This window comes from Homo sapiens, chromosome 20 (assembly GCF_000001405.40).
Source record: "Homo sapiens chromosome 20, GRCh38.p14 Primary Assembly".
Taxonomy (NCBI): domain Eukaryota; kingdom Metazoa; phylum Chordata; class Mammalia; order Primates; family Hominidae; genus Homo; species Homo sapiens.
In genome coordinates, this window is record NC_000020.11 from 7,925,557 (window position 1) to 7,942,351 (window position 16,795).

Genomic DNA, 16,795 nt, shown 5'->3' on the forward strand with positions numbered 1-16,795 from the left:
TTGTCAAGTCCTGGCATAAATGGCAGATCATATGGAGACCATAACACAGTGATAGGCCTTTAAATAATGGTTTTAAGGAGTATTGAGTTTGCACACAACAACTTCAACCAACCTCCCAGTGTTTAACAACTTCAGTGTTGGGATACACATGTGAGCCTCTGACTTTTTTCACTGTCACATTTTAATGTCATCAGGCACATTAATAATTCTGAGAAGAAGCAATCTCATGCTCTCAAGAAAGCCACCCAATAGCTTAAATTTTGGTGCAAAATCGTAGAAATCACTCCATTCGATGACTGTCTTTAATATGGCTAGATTCTAATTTTTTAATAGGTGTTTTAATCAACAATCTTGTTTCATTGCAAAGTGATTTTAACACTGAAGCCACTATTTATATGAAAATACTTTAGCAATGAATTATACATTTTAGTATATGTATATATATCAAATGTCCATAATCTTTTAATACATATATAAGCATATGTAATACGGATGTGTGTTTGTGTGTGTGTGTGTGAGTGCTTACACACAGAAAGAGCATGTCACTGACTTTTTATTGTTAGAAAAGCAAGTCTAAAACATAAAATTTGGTTACACTTTAGAGTGAAACAGACTTAGGTTCAAACCCCATCACCACCATTACTGGCACTAGACCTTGGTCAAGGGCTTCCTTCTTCTCTACTGTCAAACAGAATGAGAATTACTTCACAGGCCTATTGTAAGGATTAATCACAAGAACGTAAAGTCCAAGCATTGCACCTGATACATGACAGGCACTCCACTTCAGAAAGAGTAAAAATGTTCCTTAAAGCAAGTCCAGTGCTTTGCCTGGATTAGGTAAAATTGAGAATAATGGGGATATTTTCCTAGTAGGTATGCTGAAACATATATCTAGTCGGTCGCCTAGCACAACACATAAATATATAAATCAATAAAGCTTTCAAAAAATACATCGTTTGGGTTTAGAGCAAAGGAAATGACAATTCTTCCTGTTGAATGGTCTTTCACTCATTGTTAAGGTTGATCACTTAATCTTGGAAAATCCAGAAAATTCAACAGCTAAAACTCTCACCTACACCCTAATGCAGTCATCTGGGGTCTGTGTGGCTCTTTGTGTTACTCTGCAATCTGTTCCACCTGCATCTTAATAGGTGGTCAAGTCATAGCTGAGTCCCAAAACTTCACTTTGGAATGTTCTGGCCTTTTAGGCTCAAAAAGAAAGTGTTTAGATTTAATGGTTTTATGGCCCATCAAATCCAGTGTGGTAGCCTCTAATTGCATCCAGGGGCTGGAATTTCTTTTAAAACTTTTTTTTTTTTTGACAGTTTAATAAGAATTTGCTAATATGCTGAACATTCCTGGAACGCATTAGGTAGGTTTTAATTTTTCTTGATATGAGGTCCCAGCACTCCCTCATGTGGCACTTGCCCACATAACAAGTCAGAAGCAAAAGGATAAATGAATATTTAATCCTTCTTTTCTCTTTCTTTTTGATTTCTCATGTTTAAAGGGAGAAAAAAAATCTCAAGTAGCTCCATGAAAGATGAAGGAAAATTTTATTATAGCTACTGTGCATAAAACCTGAGAGGTTTCCATGGCAATGTTCTTAAAGCACCAAATGGTATAGTAAGCATTTTATTAATTGGATATTTGAGAAGTCAGAGATGTTCTACTTATCCTGGAAGACTAAAATTTAGCCTAATGATACCACCTATTTTATATGTGTTAGCATTTATGTTTATTATTGCTATTTCCTTCCATATGTTAAATATTCATAGAAATAATTTTGTATCCTTCTTTAAAGAATATAAAGAAAAAAATTCAAAAAAATAAATAAAAATGATCTGCTAGAGTTTCAAACGGATGTGCCATTATAAGTAGAGGCACTTATAAAACAGCTTAAATATTATAAGATTTACAACTATTAAAATGTTGATTAAGTAATCCATTGAATCAAATTTTTTATTCGTAACACAGTGCATGAAAAACTGCCCTCCATTCAGTATTTTTCAGTTATTTTTTTCCACTTTAAAAGACTTCTTAGAATTTTATCTTTTGTTTGATTGTAATTCATGACCCATTGTTTATGCTCCCAAATTTTGCAAAAAGCGAATGATTTCCCAATTAATTTCACTTCTGTGGCTTATTTTATCTTCTCAAAGTTAAAAAGATAAAACAATAAAACATAGGATGTTTGCAATAAATATTTTAAGATGATAGCATAGTGCTTGCCTTAGGATTCTTGCTACAGTTAATGACGTTTGGAAATACCAGTAACAGAGCAGGATATTATAGGTAGCACTGCCTAAGTGATTAATAATCTGAGCAAAGCATTAACCTCTCTAAGCCTCGATTTCCACACCCACAGGAGTTGGAGAAAGTTTCTCAGGGTTTTGCACTCACATATTTTAAGATGGTGGTAAAGATAGATGAATAAATAATAAAGTCAAATTGCGTGGCACATACTAATTGCTGTATAAATGCTGGTGATCATCATTTTTCACAAGACTTTGAAGTATCACTTTCTGAGTTTATGCAACATTTATTAAAGACGTTTGTGTTTTTAGCAATAGTCAGAGATAGTTACATATCTTGTTCCTCTCCTATAGACCAAGAATGTACTTTGAAAAATGGAAATTAAAAGCATTCAAATGCTCACTGCCTCATCTAAACCCTCCAAGGCTGACATAGTGCAGTCGAAAGAAGTGGGCTGACATAAAGTGCGTCTAAACCCTCCAGGGCTGACATAAAGTGTAGATTTCAGTAGAGTAAGAAAAGGTAGCTCTATACTTTGAATTGTTTCTTTTTGCATTTGATAAAATTTTAAATGGGATCAAAATCATTTATTTATATACTGAAAAAAATTGCAAAGATCATCCACTTCTATGCCAGTTTTCTGGGTTTTTGTTTTTGGAGATTTTTGTTGTGAAAGTTTTTTCTTTTTTTTTTTTTTGTCTTTCCAGCAGAACTATTTAAAGAACTTTTCTTTTGAACACCAAAATGCAACACAAGTAGCTCATGCTCAGTATCACACCTAAGTTCTGTAAGATCCCTGGAAACAACCCCAGCCTCCTTGGGACGTGGCATTCAATCCACTGGTCTTGCTCAAGTAGCTCACTTTATCAATGAAGAAACATAATCCTAGAAAGTGAAAATGACCTGCCACAGAAATAAAACTAGTTCTCGGTAAATTTCCACATAAATCAGATGTCCCAGATGTACAGCCTAGGGGACACTTGTAGCCCACAAAAGTATTTACTTTGGCCCACACATTGTTGCCCCAAACAGTGTTTTAGGGAATTTTGATTTATTTGCCCACATTTAAAAACCAGGAGATTGTACATAGAAATCAAGATTTCTGGCTTCTTAAAATTTTGGAAGATTTGGCAACCCCACATCCCTGCTCCCTTGGGTCATCAAGAGCTAAGATGTGGCTGCCCCCTTCTGATGGAACATGCAATCTCAGACTCACTGCAGTCTCCACACAGGAGCTTGCACTGTTTTTTGTTTGTTTGTTTGTTTGTTTGTTTGTTTGTTTGTTTCAATTTCATCTTTTTTGGACATTTACATTACAAGCCTGGCTCCTAAAAGTACCTTTTTTTCCCTGAGGTTTCTGCATAAAGCTTAAAATAAAAATATTTTTCACAAAGAAAAAGAACAATTTTTATTTCCACTAGATGTAAATGGAATATACTTTTCTGAAAGTGAGTTTTTGTGTGTGAAAGATAAAGATTTCAGAGACTTTGGGCTCTGAGGGGCAAATAAAGATAGTGTGTAAGCATTTCTAGCATTTATTTCATGAATCCTCACAAGAAATCCTCAGGTGAGAGCTCTTATTCATCCAGGGTTGCCAGATTGAGCAAACATACAGGACACCTATGATTTGTTGTTTATCTGAAATTCAAACATAATGGGCCCTCTGTGTTTTATTTGATAACCTTGTATTCATCATCATTTTGAAAATGAAAAAAGTATAGCTTCATTGGTCACTCTACAAACATGCAGCAGTGTAAAAAAGTAGAGTTCAGACAGGGCGCGGTGGCTCACGCATGTAATCCCAGCACTTTGGGAGGCCAAGGCAGGCAGATCATGAGGTCAGGAGATCAAGACCATCCTGGCCAACATGGTGAAACCCTGTCTATACTAAAATACAAAAAATTAGCCAGCCGTCGCGGTGCGTGCCTATAGTCCTAGCTACCCAGGAGGCTGAGGCAGGGGAATCGCTTGAACCTGGGAGGCAGAGGTTGCAGTGAGCTGAGATAGTGCCACTGCACTCCAGTCTGGTGACAGAGCAAGACTCTGTCTCAAAAAAATAAGAGTCGAGCTCAGTTCTCGGTCCCAGTTAATAAGGTGGATTATTATTATTCCACAGTTGTGAGAGGAAGGGCAGAAAGGCCCTTGAAGTTGGACTCTGAATAAATCTGGAGAGTCAACGGGGAAAATGAGACTATGGCACCATAGCAATTCCCAGAACTTTCTGGAGGCCCATTCTAATTACTCAGGCCAGACCATTGCCTGTGGGCACCAATGGGTTTCACTTACTCTCACTGACCCTGCTGAGGGGGACACTTCTCCAGGGAGATTGATAACTAACCCGTTTTCTGAACCTGGCCCCAACTTCTCTTCCTTGCTAGGGTCTAAGTCCCTGGAGACAGGAATGCTTAGCGGCCAGATATTTAGGAGGGTAACAAAAAAAAAAATACTCCACAACAAATTGCATAGATTTCCCAATATTCCCAAGGACTGGCTTGCTTGAGAGGATTTCCATATTCTTTCTGGGAATGATGGAATAAATACAATAATAACTTCATAATTCCATGTGAATTTTCTGAGTTTTTATAAATAAATCTCTGCCAAGTATGAATATTCTTACACTGTTACTTAAATTTGCCTGTGGCTATCTATAGCCTTCAGTTAGCTATTATCCTGGTTTGCATACTTCAAGAAGCCAAAAATGACACAGAGATGTGAGAGCAAGTCATCTTATTTGGAAACAATCTCAATGAATTGAAGGAATGGGGAAGTGAGAAAAGAATGGGAAGGAAGCCAATAAAAGAGGGTGTGTTCATGGGCAGGCAACCTCAGGGGGCAACTGGGACTCAATCCTTCCAAGGAACACTGGGTGACCATATTAGAAAATGCTTCAGTTACCTGAGCAAAGAGAGCTGAGGTATTTATCCACCTACTGCTGTACATCATTAGCTAGGGAACCCTCTCTCCCATTCCCCTACTTCAAACACACCTATCCATGGGCTCATGTTGCAACAGATAATGTCAGGCAAAAAGTGGTAGGTCTGATGGAAATGGGAAGTAAGAAGGGAATACATGCAGAGCACAAGCACCATCTACTCCAGCCATTCATCCTTTCCTTGCAAGTAACCCACTGTCCCACAACATAAACACACCAGCCAAAGAACACCTGCTATGAGCTGATGACCATCAGCTTTCTGGATACACCTAAATATTAAATAGACTAATAACCTATAGATAGTCTTTAAAACATAGGTGAAAACTTAGAAACCCTGGAGAGAGGTTTCTAGTATAAATACAGAATAGAAACTCTGATGTTGCTGCCCTGATAGGAACCCAATGGAGGACCCTATGTTTTTGAGGGCAACATGTGTACACTTCCATTGCCTTCTCCAATTCCTCTGCAATCTCGATGTCACCACCCTCTCTTTGTTCTGCTGGATCCACCTTATCCAAATGTCTATTGTGTAACTTATCTTCCTGAGGGGTCTGCTTTGCATGCTCCTAAAACTATAATTACTTCTAGGGGATCATAATGGGCTTCTCCTCATGACACTTCATAGGAGTTTCTGAAATTAAAGCTCTTGCAAAGTGGTGAGGAGCCCAGATTCTGGAGACAGAATACCTCTGTCTGAATCCCATCTCTATCACTTATGAATTGTGCATCCCTAGGCAAGGTTATTCACCTGGCGTGTACCTCAGTTTCTCCTGTGTAAAATAGGTTTAATAATATGATCGATTTATTTGGGCCGCTCTGAGCCTTCAATGCTATAATACTCGTAATATACTTAAAATAGTGTCTGGAACATGATAATTGCTTTATAAGTGTTAAATAAATCTAAGGGGATAAGACTGTAATAGGCATTTAATATCTTCTTATGGTTACTTCTGGAGGAAATAGTCCTACTTACACTGTCAAATCATAGTTTCTAAGGAAGCTTTCTTTTCTTCTTTCTTCTCCTCTTTCTTCTCAGCCCAACTCCACCAAGAATAAAGACTGGTCTTGGAACCATCAAATGTGACTTGGAGAATAAGTCTGTCATTGACGAGCTATGAAAAACTGTTTTCTCTGGAACTTTAGCTACTTGCCCACAAAACAGGGACAGAAACACCTGTCAAATATCAAATAAAGCAATATGTGTTGGTATGGTTAGGCTTTGTTTCTCCATCCAAATCTCATCTTGAATTATAATCCCAGGTGTTGAGGGAAAGACCTAGTGGGAGGTGATTGGATCATGGGGGTGGTTTCCCCCATGCTGTTCTCATGATAGTGGGTGAGTTCTCATGAGATCAGATGGTTTTATAAGTATCTGGCATTTCCCTGCTTGCACTTCTCTCTCCTGCCACCATGGGAAGAAGGTCGTTCCTTCCCCTTTGCCTTCCACCATGATTGTAAGTTTCCTGAGGCCTCCCCAGCCATGTAGAACTGTGAGTCAGTTAAACCTCTTTCCTTAATAAATTACCCAGTCTCGAAGAGTATCTTTAAATCAGTGTGAGAAGGAACTAATACATGTGGTAAAAATAATTTGCTGGCTCCAGGGTGCCTTACCAAGTGAGCTCTGCTTTTTGCTTTCTCTGCTTCCTTTCTTTATTTCCATTCTCTTCATGGTCCCTTGTCCCTTTATCTCTACTCTTTTAAATCTAATTGTTATCATTTCCTCCTTACAAAATAATTCAAAGAAGAGTTTATAAGGTTGAGCCAAAAATCAGAAGAGTATAAAGTCAGGAGTAATCTCATCACTTATAAATAAACATTTGTAAATTGTGATCTTTGAAACTAAATGTATTTTAGGACCTGACTATTGTTTGCAACTGATTTCTCACAATTTTAAATTAAAATATCATTCTACATTATTGCACTCTTCCTATAGTATAATTTTTAAATTTGATGTCATTTTTATGCATCATATTTTTTGCAAACTATCTCCAATTATAAGATGTTTGGGTATTTTTTTCAAATTATTTTCCTGCTAAAAATAAGAAGCATGAAAATCCTTGCAGAAATGATTTTTTTCCTCAAAAATCATAATTATTTCCTTGGAATTCCTAGAAGAGAATTTTTAACATCACATGGAATTTACATTTTTAGAGCTTTGATATACAGTGCCAGATTATTTTCTAGGAAGATTATTCCACTTTATACTTTTCTCAACACTGTTTGAAATGCACATTTTCTCCCTAACCTAATCATACTGCCTGATCTTAAAATAAAAATTCGATATACGGAAAATAAAATAGATGGTCATAATTTCCATGTCTTTGCTTATTAATGAAATTGAATATTTTTCATATGTTTATTGGTCACTTTTATGTCTCCATTTGTAAATTTCCTATTTATATCTTTTGTTCACTTATTTCTCTTTTTCCCTTTGAGCAATATATTATTTTCTTCTTCAAATATAAGGGCTTTTTACGTGGAAAGGACATTAACCCTTCACAGTCTCATATTTTTTTTCCATTTCTTTCAGTTTACCATTTACTTTTTATTTTCATTGAGATTTAAGAGCACTAAAGTTTTAGTTTTTTGATGTTCATTTGTTTTCTTTTGTTCTAAGGTTGTTGCCTATAGTTTCAAGCCTGAAAGGGCCTTTATTATCTTGATTTTGTATAGATATTTACCCATTTAGTATTTCCCTTTTTTTTTCTTCTCTCTACTTATGTTTCAGGATTACCATAGACAAAAGGCTGAGGCCCCAAAGCCACTTATTTGTATGTGGTCCTAGAATTAAGGAAGCTGCTAAGTCTGTCCAGCAAAACCTCATTGTGCCATTCTGATATCCCTGACAGAATTTTATGTCAGACATTTCAAGAAGGGAAGTGAATTCACAAGATCCTTAATTCTTAAAACTAAAATGTTTTAAAATATTATATAGTCGTGTTCTTTTTCTGCTCTGCTTAGCATCAAAATAATTCATTTCCAACTTTTATATTAGTTTCTGGAGCACAATTTGGGGAGATTTTTTACTCTGCACAGCCTTTCAAATGTTCACAGTTGCTAGAGAACTGGAAAGTTAATAAATTAGCCCTAATAAGAGATTTCTTTACATCATATTTGATTTTCTCATCACTCCCTCCTAAGACAGCTGGAACTGCTCTATTGGGAATATAACTCATCCATAAAAAAGAATCATGACCCAAAACCACGGAAGAAAACACAACCAACCACGTTGCTCCATTTGCAATTTGGCTGTGAGAACCACTTTGGTTTGGGGGAAGCAGGAGGGTTTTGAGATAAGGTAGCCACAGGGCTGAATTCCAATTCTGTAACTACCTAGCTGTGACTTTGGGCAAGTCTACCTGTCAGAGATCCATTTCCTGAGACAGTACTATTAATACCCATAATATAACCAACAGTTACTGAGCCCCTACTCTCTGCCATGAACTTTGTATACCTGAACTCATTCAATTCTCACCATAACCCAATGAGGCAGGTACAATTTTTGTCCCTATTTTACAGCCAAGGAAACCAATGCAGAGAGAGGATATCTTGCCCAGTCACACAGCTGGAAAGAAGAGGAGCAGGACATGCAAGAACAAGTATTTTGATGATAGAGTCCATGAGCTTAATGTTTCTGAGTGTAAAAACATCAAGGAACATATTTGCTTGGTGCATTCAGAGAAGGAGGTCGATAAACGTTAGCCTCCTTCTGTCCCTGTGGTGACAATCTTCCTCCTACCTCTCACAGTGGCAAGCTCGCCGTCCACATGAGCCATGCGCTGCATGGCCGTAGCCCCCACACATATTGGCATGCTGACCCTCTGTCCTAAAACAGAAGTCGACAGATCTGTTTCAGCAACATTCCGGAGCATCCTTGGATACAGCTTCCATCTAGAATTAAAAAATAAAATAAAATAAAAGGCTTTAGAGTTTCAGAATCATAACCAAAACTTTGACATTACATTTTAGTTAAAAGAAAAAATATAATTGGATTTTTTCCAAACAAGCAAATGACTTCATAAAGCTAATGGAAAAGAGGCAATTTTACTGTTTGTTTGGTTAGAAAGTTAACAATTAGAGGATAATGAATTTCCCAAGCAATTATTTATTAAAGTATAACTAATACATAATAGTATTCACTCATTTTAGTCTGCAGTTTTGTGAATTTTGACAAATGCATACAGTGGTGTAACTGCCATGACAATCAAGATCTAGAAAAAGTTCAATCATTCCCAAAAAAGTCCCCATTTTCTTTTGCAGAGAAACTCTCCCCAGTTCAATCCCCTGACAACCACTGATGCATTTTTTCTTTGTCCTGATAATTTTGCTTTGCAAGAATATCATGTAAACAAAATCATTCAGTATGTAGCCTTTTGAGTTTGGCTTCTTTCACTTAACATAACGCATTAGAGATTTTCTCATGTTGTTGTACGTGTCAATAGTTTGTTCCTTTTGGTTGATGAATAATATTCCATCATACAGGGGTACTATCATTTGTCCAGTCATTCCCAAGCTAAAAGACATTTTGAATACTTACAGTTTGGGGGGAAATTCTAAATAAAGCCACTACAAACATTCACGTACAGGTTCTTGTGTGAACATAGTTTTCGTTTCACTTCCCCAATCTTGAAAATCAAGATGGTATACAAATGCATAGAGTTTAGATTAGAGTTTAAGAAGATATGCTATGTCTAGTTTGTCTTCTTTTTATGTGATAAACAGCAGCTTCAGGCAATTACTTTTAAAATTATAATTTGGTTTCTTCAAAATTATTTAGTTATATGCCATATTCATTAAAGTCTAATGATGAGGGAAGGTTTTTTATTAGTTTAATTTAACACTTTTCTCAAAAATGTTATTTGACAAAAACTGAAATTTGGGTGTTAAAAAGTTTTTGACTCCGGAAAATTATTTTAAATGAATGTTTCTGTGATTCTTCTGTGTTGGAATGAAAATTACCAATAAACCAGCAACCAAAAATTCACCAGTAAAATTTACAGAAGAACTAGTTCTCTTTCCTCCTGGCAAAATATATCTCTCCTATTTGTTTTGATTTATTATTCTCATTAGTACTGATTAAAATTGAAGAAAATACAGCCCTATTTCTAGTATGCATGAGTATAATAAACGTGTTGTTTAGGCACACATGCATATCTAACCAGCATTCACCTAGTATTTCCTAGATGTAACTCTACTTCCAGAAACAGCATGACTTTTTAGTAAATATAGTGAAGTATGATATAGTAATGCAGTAACTTAAAGAAAAAAAAAGAAGAAAAAGAAAAAGCCCTTAATCGAAGCGTGCTTCCTGTAGCGGAAGAAGAAATTCTGCCTTCTATTGCTTTGTGGAATAGCTAAGGGTCTGTAATCTAACCCTTCCTCACATAATAAAGTAAAAACATCCAGTCCCTGAAAAGCATAATAAAGAAGTTTTACTGTGTGATTTCTATGCTATTCCTTTGAACATTATAATTGTCATTATTTTATGCCACACCACATGCTCTGTTGCTGAAAGTCTTTTCTTCTTGACGGACCCTCACAGCATGATTCTTTGATCTCCATTTTGAAGGGGGAGAAGCAGAAGCCTTGAAGAGAGTTTTTATTACCAATCATCTCTAAGTGTGTTATTAGAATGAGAGAAAACGATCTTAATAGCAGCCATTGGCATGCCAGCCTTGGAAGGCATTAATATTTACTTAGAGCTAGAGAAACAATGAAAGCTTTATGACAAGAACAAGCAAATCTGCAGGGCAGCAGCCGTGTGTGTGTGTGTGTGTGTGTGTGTGTGTGTGTGTGTGTGTGTTCGCGCGCGCGCGCGCGCGTGCGTGCCAAAAGGGACATTTTTAAAGGTCAAATTCCCATTTATAAAGCAAAGCTGAATCCTTCCATCTCCAGACAGTGGCTTTACACTTGTCCACTTGGTGGCGCAGTCACTTTAGTAACTGCGGGCTCTTAATTTCCCTTAAACAGTATTTTCTGTTCTGAGGATAATACAGAGGCTTGTCAACCAATGCACAAAACGTAATTGCTACGTAAAATTAGATAAAATCAATGGAATGGGAACAGGCATGTTATCTAAAGAGTCCTCCATGTTTTGATATTTTTCAAATAGTAGTAACAACTATGTCAGATAGCTCACTAGCTTTCCAAGCCTTGCCCAACCCCACTCCAAATTTAAGTAAATTTCCCACAATCATACATAAAATAGCACCTCACTATATTCTCGGACTGTGCTTTCCTGGGCCTCCACTTTGGAAAAAGAATTGGTTCAACTGGCAAACAGTTGAACCAATTGAATAATAAACCGTTTTCAAAGGATAGAAAATGAGATGCCAGAGTAAAGGAAGCGGGGTAACGGGGAGAATCTGTTCACAGGAATTTTGGCCCACCCTCACATCTAACAGGGGCCTCAAATTTAACTTATAAAAAAATCAAATGATATATACACTCCTCACAAAGTAGCTGCCCTGTTGAAGGAAGACACCCATGCCTCACCCAGCTTTATAACTGCATGCTGTTTCTGAATCACACTAACTGGACATAGTGGATTCATGTTTTGTAAGTTGTGTAATCCTATAATACTGCATTCCAATTTTCTCCACATTAATTTTTTACTCTAAACAGTTAAAATATATAAAGCAAAAACACCTTATTCACCTATTGTGGATACTAGATAAATTATTTTGTGACATTTATGCCTATGAGAACACAATGTCACTGGTAACTTCATATCACTTCTCAAATATTAAAGTGAAAGAATGACATCACTTTTACCCATCTGTTATTTAAAAGAAAATGATGCCATCTTCAGTCTCAATAGGTAACGCAGCAGAAAAGAGTTTCCTTTTCTGAAATCATGAGGGCTTCTAAGTGTCGAAATTGTTTAATCATCTTCCATCATTGATAATTTCAGAAAAAAAAGCTACAACAACGTGAAGACCATAGTTGAGAAGGCTACTTTGAATAAATGTGTAAGAGAAACAAATTACTGTTCTTCGTTGAATTAATCCCAATCAATTCCAGCCATGCAAAATGTAGCAAGTTGACATTTACCCTGTTTTGTTATAACCACCGTAAGAAATTTTGTTCTGGGTGGTTCCATTTACTTGTCCTTTTAAACATTTTTTTCTACTGCCACAGTAATATTAGTCTGAAGTCTTACCCAAAAATATCTCCAAGCAACTGCTGGGTCACATGAGTGGTCCATGTCCCCAGAACTCCAAAATGTGATTATCAGAGCTGAGTACAGAGAAATAAAAGCTGTCACGGTGAATGACCTTTTGTTGTACTTGCGAGATGGGGAGGTGTATAAATTTCATAAATGTGTTTGAAATACTCTGGCTTTGTATCACAATGGGTTATCTGAGGTTTGATTGTTTTGCACTTTTCATTAGAATCAGAATGTGAAATTTCAGGTTGATTTCCTTCATGCCATCAACCCAAAGTCTCCACAACCCTGGCAGAATTTCTATTCTTAGTTTCACGTGACCAGCTACATGATGCAGTGTGAGGAATCAAGGTTCACCTAGCGAGTCATACAGCAAAAGAGGACACATTGCAAAATGTATTGCAATAAAAACTCAACTAGTTGATAATAAAATAGCATCAGCTGTCCTCCAAAGAAAGTTGATTGATTTTTTTTTTTAATTTAAAGCTGAACAAAAGAGAATGATCAAGGTTCATGGAAAAGGTGACACTGCAAATTCATTTTCATTATCTGTGTCCTATCCCTAAGTTACTCGGTACACACATAGGATGGGAATACTCACTTGAATACCATGTAATTCACATAAGGCATGAGGCACTTTTCCAGTTCATAACTTAGAAGTCACCAAGCCTTCTATGTCTCCCAAAGTTTCTACATTTTAAAGGGTTGCATAGGTGATCCATCTGCTTTGGGGCGCCCCTTTGCATCCTCTCTGAGACCTCCACTTGGCCAACTATTTTGGGCCCATTTTGCATCAATTCAACCCAACAGCATTATGGAGGCTGATATGCATCCAGGGGAATGTAAGTTCCTAGGGACAGGAACTTTGTCTGGCTCACTGCTTTGTCCTCAGCATGTAGTACACAGTGTAGCTCATGGAGACTCCTAATTAGCTCTAGTTAATTAGCTAGCATGCGACAAAGGGAATTAAGAAGTAAGGAAAGCTGTATACAAATGAAATAAATAATCACTTGAGCATTGGAGGTCTAGCAATGCTGAGACACTAACTCTATAAATCTGTCAAGGGTCTGAAATTTCCTTGGTTGTAATAACCTATTTGGGTTAAAGTGTTTTCAAGAGACCACTCATAGGCAAATTTTGGTGGACAAAGTTAATATCGGCCCAAGAAGGGGCATCTTCCAAGAGCAGAAACTTTTAAATGAGTCCAAAATAGTAAATAATGATGCAGAATTTTAAGCCCCTCTACTCTCAGTCAACTTCCCTTCCCATGACTTCCCTGGCATTTGTTGAGCTCATTTGGGTTCCAGGCAAAACCTGAGACAAAGTCAAGGCTTGAAAGGGTTGGGGAGAGGCCGTATCCTTCACCCCATTGCCATTTTCAGTCTTCTACATGGATTTGTGGGTGAATCAGTGCTGCCTACCAGAGACCACCTTGGCCAGGATAATTTTATTTCTCCTAATTTAAATATGGAAAACTGATTTTGAGTGATTTTGTTGTAGACTAAAGAAGAAATCAGGGAGGAAGGCTAATTCTCTCCCCCTGCATATTTTCTGCCTTTTTGTCTTTATCACCATCAATGAGTACCCACAATACCGATTGCCTTTACTAACAGCCATAATGTTAGATGGATGAGACTGAGTGTAGTGTAGTGAAGGCACTCCTCTCTTGCTCCAGCAAATAAACCATTTTTGTAACTGCTATAAAAAAAAACCCTTTGAAATGATTTTATTTCTTGTTTTTATTACAAACAGAAAACATAAACCATGTCACCCACCATCTTGTGCTTTGAAATATGAAAGTCAAAGGAAAACTAATTTGGGAAGAGAGATGAAGTGCTTTGAAGGAGAGATGAAACAGCAAAGTTGAAAGATTAATGCTGCATAGACAAATTGAAATCTAAAGTGAAAGTTTAGACAACAGTAATCAAAATGAATGATAACACGAAAAGCCAGCAGGAAGAAAACATTTGAGCCAACAATCCAGTCTGGTTCATCCGGATAAGATGGTTATCTGGCATTTAATGCTGTTTCCTACACCATGAACATAAGCATTTACTGTCATACTAAGAAAAAGAAAAGTCATCCGAATTTATCGCTATTTTTACATGTAGTTAAATTAATTGTTGTCATATTTCCAAGTGAAGTAACATAGGTTTGGCTTTTGCAGTCAGTTCCTCAAGATTCACAGGCTTGGAATATTTTTTAACAATTTAAAGGCCCAAGATTTCTTACAGCCCCAAGAACTTTTCCCTCTCTACTAAGCACAAATCTGAACAAATAATTACACACCACCAACGTAAAACTAGGAGATCTTATTTTGGTACGGTCTTTGTGTAATTTTAAAACATGATTTTAAAAAATAAATTTTCTTACCTGGAAAATGCTGCAATATTATCAGCCAAAGTTTCTTCATCATTTGCCCCAGACCTGTAATAGTCATATATAGACTTTGGAAGTACTGATTTAGCATGTTGTTCATAATCATTGATACAAATTAGCCGGGGGAGCATTTTCACAGGTTATTGCTATCCCAGATGGAGTTCGTTGTTTTTTTTTTTTTAATGTATTGCTTTCTACATCCTCACTGTTCTGTTATTTGTCAATTATTAATAGACTTTTGCCAAAGTTCAGATTTAGTTCTCTGTTGCTTACATCAAGTGAGCAAACATTATATGCTTAGCCTTTGAAATTTCATTTGTAGGCTATCTGCCAAAGAACACCGAAGTCACTATCTGCCAAAGAACACCAAAGTTGAGGTTGGGAAGGCAGCAGAAGGTGATTAGGTGTCTATCACATTAAAAAGGGGAAAGGAATAAGTAAAAAATTAAAGACTTAGAGGAATACCTGTATGAAACCACTCTTGGTTCAGTTTTGCCTAAGGCTGCTTATTGCACATGGTCTGTGCCTGTGCTCTTTGCTTGATACCCAGAATAGGCTGCCCACTCATTTTCTTTCCACATTTGGATCATGCACAAATCATGTAAACAAGAGCTTATGAACTGAACGGGGCATCCATGAAATATGGGGCATCCGTGAAATTCAGGGCTTCTGCACAATATAAAATTTAGCTGATTACAAACATAGACATTTGGCTTTAACATGGAACATTAAGGCCAAATTGACAGCTAATTGTTTTATTCATTCTGTATATTTGAGGTTTACAACATGATATTATGAGATACATATACACAGAAAAATGGTTACAGTAGGGAGGCCAATATAATATATGTATCATCTCACCCGTAATTACTTTTTTGTGTGTATGACAAGAACAGCTAAAATCAACTTATTTAACAAAAATTCCTAATATGATACAATTTTATTAACTTTAGTCCTCATTTTGCACGTTTGCTCTCTAGACCAGGGGTCCCAAACTCCCCAGCATGGACTGGTACTGGTCCGTGGCCTGTTAGGAACCAAGCTGCACAGCAGGAGGTGAGCAGCCGGTGAGCAAGCTTTACAGACTGAGCTCCGCCTCCTATTGTGAACTGCACATGCGAGGGATCTAGGTTGCGCCACTCCTTATGAGAATCTAATGCCTGATGATCTGAGGTGGAACAGTTTCATTCCAAAACCATCCACCTACCCCCACTGCCCATGGAAAAATTGTATTCCACAAAACTTGTCCCTGGTGCCGAAAAGGTTAGGGACCCTGTTGTAGATTTATGTATCCTACGTGTCTACTATTTTGTATCCTTTGACCTATATCACCCCTTTTCCTCTTCCCTGCTTCCCACTAGTGGTATTCACTGTTTCATTCTCTAGCTCTGTGCATTTGAAGTCTTTTTTAAAACAAAATCCCACCTATAAGTGAAATAATGCAATAATTTCCCTTTTGTGCCTGGCTTATTTCACTTAGCATAATGTTCTCTGGGTTCTACTGCAAATGACAGGATTCCCTTCTCTTATAAGGCTGAATAATATTTCATTGTGTGTATATCTATACATTTCCCTTATCCATTTGTCTCTTAATGGGCATTTAGGTTTACCATTAATTCTTTTTTTTTTTCTTTTTGAGATGGAGTCTTTCTCTGTCTCCCAGGCTGGAGTGCAGTGGTGTGATCTCGGCTCATTGCAGCCTCTACCTCCCAGGTTCAAGAGATTATTCTGCCTCAGCCTCCCAAGTAACTGGGACTACAGGCATGTCCACCACGCCTGGCTAATTTTTGTATTTTTATTTAGTAAAGATGGGGTTTCACTATATTGGCCAGGCTGGTCTCAAACTCCTGACCTCAAGTGATCCAACCACCTCGGCCTCCCAGAGTGCTGGGATTGCAGGTGTGAGCCACTGCACATGGCCTACCACTAATTCTTAGAGTCTTATCTTGCCCTGGAGAGGGTATAGGGAAGTGCTATTCCAAAAGACCTGTGGTCTCAGTCTATAATTTCACTCAATCATGGAACACCTGGGGAAGATTCACATTAGTAGGATATGCTTG

General features: G+C 37.2%; 1 protein-coding gene across 1 annotated transcript in view, besides 1 other annotated feature; it reads right to left on the reverse strand.

Annotated features, from left to right (window-relative positions):
* Window positions 1-14,902, reverse strand: part of HAO1 (hydroxyacid oxidase 1) — a 57,474-nt gene extending 42,572 nt beyond the window's left edge. Inside the window, exons 1-2 of the mRNA NM_017545.3 lie at window positions 14,730-14,902; window positions 8,928-9,079 (exon numbers count right to left, since the gene is read on the reverse strand). Of these exons, the coding sequence (NP_060015.1) occupies window positions 8,928-9,079; window positions 14,730-14,866 (289 nt within the window). The 5' untranslated portion in view covers window positions 14,867-14,902. The remainder of the gene's footprint in view (window positions 1-8,927; window positions 9,080-14,729) is intronic.
* Window positions 9,819-9,868: an enhancer, noted in NCBI's record as "active region_17535". NCBI's record gives its function as "activates an Ori minimal core promoter by ATAC-STARR-seq in GM12878 lymphoblastoid cells {active_cell/tissue: GM12878}" and the evidence as "EXISTENCE:reporter gene assay evidence [ECO:0000049][PMID:35858748]".